We start from the raw sequence: 1,671 nt of genomic DNA, 5'->3' as shown, positions 1-1,671 counted from the left end.
CAGAGAAAAGAGTAGAGACACGGAGAAGGGGTGGGGGTTTCTTCGCCTCCAGAAAAGCAGAGAAAGGGTTGGGGCATGGAAATAAGGGATTGGGGCACAGAGATAAGAGATTGGGGCATGGAAATAAGGGATTGGGGTGCAGAGATAAGAGGTTGGGGCGTGGAAATAAGTGACTGGGGGGTTCTTGCCCCCTAGGAAAGTGGGACTTGCCGCTAAGGGTGAAGGAGAGGGGGTTGAGGGGTATTTGCCCCTGCCCCAGAAAAGCAGAGAAGGGGTAGAGACAAGGAGAGAAGGGTTTGAGGGGTATTTGCCCCTTCCCCAGAAAAGCGGGACTTGCCGCTAAGGGTGAAGGACCAAGGCAGGCATCCCTGTGTGGTCTGACACCCTTGAAACGTGAGTGTATAATCAGAGAGGCGTCCCTGCGATGATTAAACACCAAGGGAAGGCTGCCTTCCCAATCTGTGACCGGCGCCGGAGTTTTGGGTTCACGGATAAAACATGTCTCTTTTGTCTCTACCAGAAAATGAAAGGAATTGAAATTAAGAGAAGGGAGAGATTGAAGTGTGGCGCCAAGATTGAAAGGAGAAAGAGGTTGAGGGATAATGAGGGAGGTTGGAGAAGGGAGTAAAAAGAGGCCGCTTACCGGATTTGAAATTGGTGAGATGTTTCTTGGGCTGGTCAGTCTGAGGACCTGAGGTCGTAGGTGGATCTTTCTCATGGAGCAAAGAGCAGGAGGACAGGGGATTGATCTCCCAAGGGAGGTCCCCCCATCCGAGTCACGGCACCAAATTTCATGCGCGTCCGTATGACGAGACCACCAAACAGGCTTTGTGTGAGCAACATGGCTGTTTATTTCACCTGGGTGCAGGCGGGCTGAGTCTGAAAAGAGAGTCAGCGAAGGGAGATAAGGGTGGGGCTGTTTTATAGGATTTGGGTAGGTAAAGGAAAATTACAGTCAAAGGGAGTTTGTTCTCTGGCGGGTAGGAGTGGGGGTCGCAAGGTGCTCAGTGGGGGTGCTTTTTGAGCCAGGATGAGCCAGGAAAAGGACTTTCACAAGGTAATGTCATCAGTTAAGGCAAGGACCGGCCATTTACACTTCTTTTGTGGTGGAATGTCATCAGTTAAGGTGGGGCAGGGCATATTCACTTCTTTTGTGATTCTTCAGTTACTTCAGGCCATCTGGGCGTATACGTGCAAGTCACAGGGGATGCGATGGCTTGGCTTGGGCTCAGAGGCCTGACATTTAATATAATCTATATTTTAAAAATGGCTTGGCTAGATATAAAATCTTTTGTCTTATGCTTTCTCTTTTGAGTGTCTTGAAAATGGCTTTTAATTATTGCTCTTTTGAAGTGAATTAATAGCCTTCTTCTATTACTATTATAAGTAATTAGATCTTTTTGTCTGGTTGTCCTGATAACTTTTTAGTTTGACTTGAATATCTAAGAGTTAATTTTTTCAGGTCAAAATTGACAGGTAAATGGTAGGACATTTTGATATAATAATTTACATTTGTTCTTATTTCTGGAAAGTCTCCCTGAATTACGTTTTAATTTTTTTCTTTGCTCCTGGTGCACTTTTTAAGAACAGTAAATATATATATATATGTGTATATATATATATATATATATATATATATATATATGTGTATATATATATATACACATATAT

At 44.2% G+C, this 1,671-nt stretch overlaps 1 annotated feature.

Moving 5' to 3' along the window:
• Window positions 602-1,450: an enhancer, noted in NCBI's record as "OCT4-NANOG-H3K27ac-H3K4me1 hESC enhancer chr2:118036121-118036969 (GRCh37/hg19 assembly coordinates)". NCBI's record gives its function as "activates a minimal SCP1, AML or CMV promoter by ChIP-STARR-seq in primed H9 embryonic stem cells {active_cell/tissue: H9 hESC(primed)}" and the evidence as "EXISTENCE:reporter gene assay evidence [ECO:0000049][PMID:30033119]".

Source organism: Homo sapiens, chromosome 2, assembly GCF_000001405.40.
Source record: "Homo sapiens chromosome 2, GRCh38.p14 Primary Assembly".
Taxonomy (NCBI): Eukaryota; Metazoa; Chordata; class Mammalia; order Primates; family Hominidae; genus Homo; species Homo sapiens.
The sequence above is the reverse complement of the archived record's forward strand: the minus strand, read 5'-3'. Positions and strand labels throughout refer to the sequence as shown.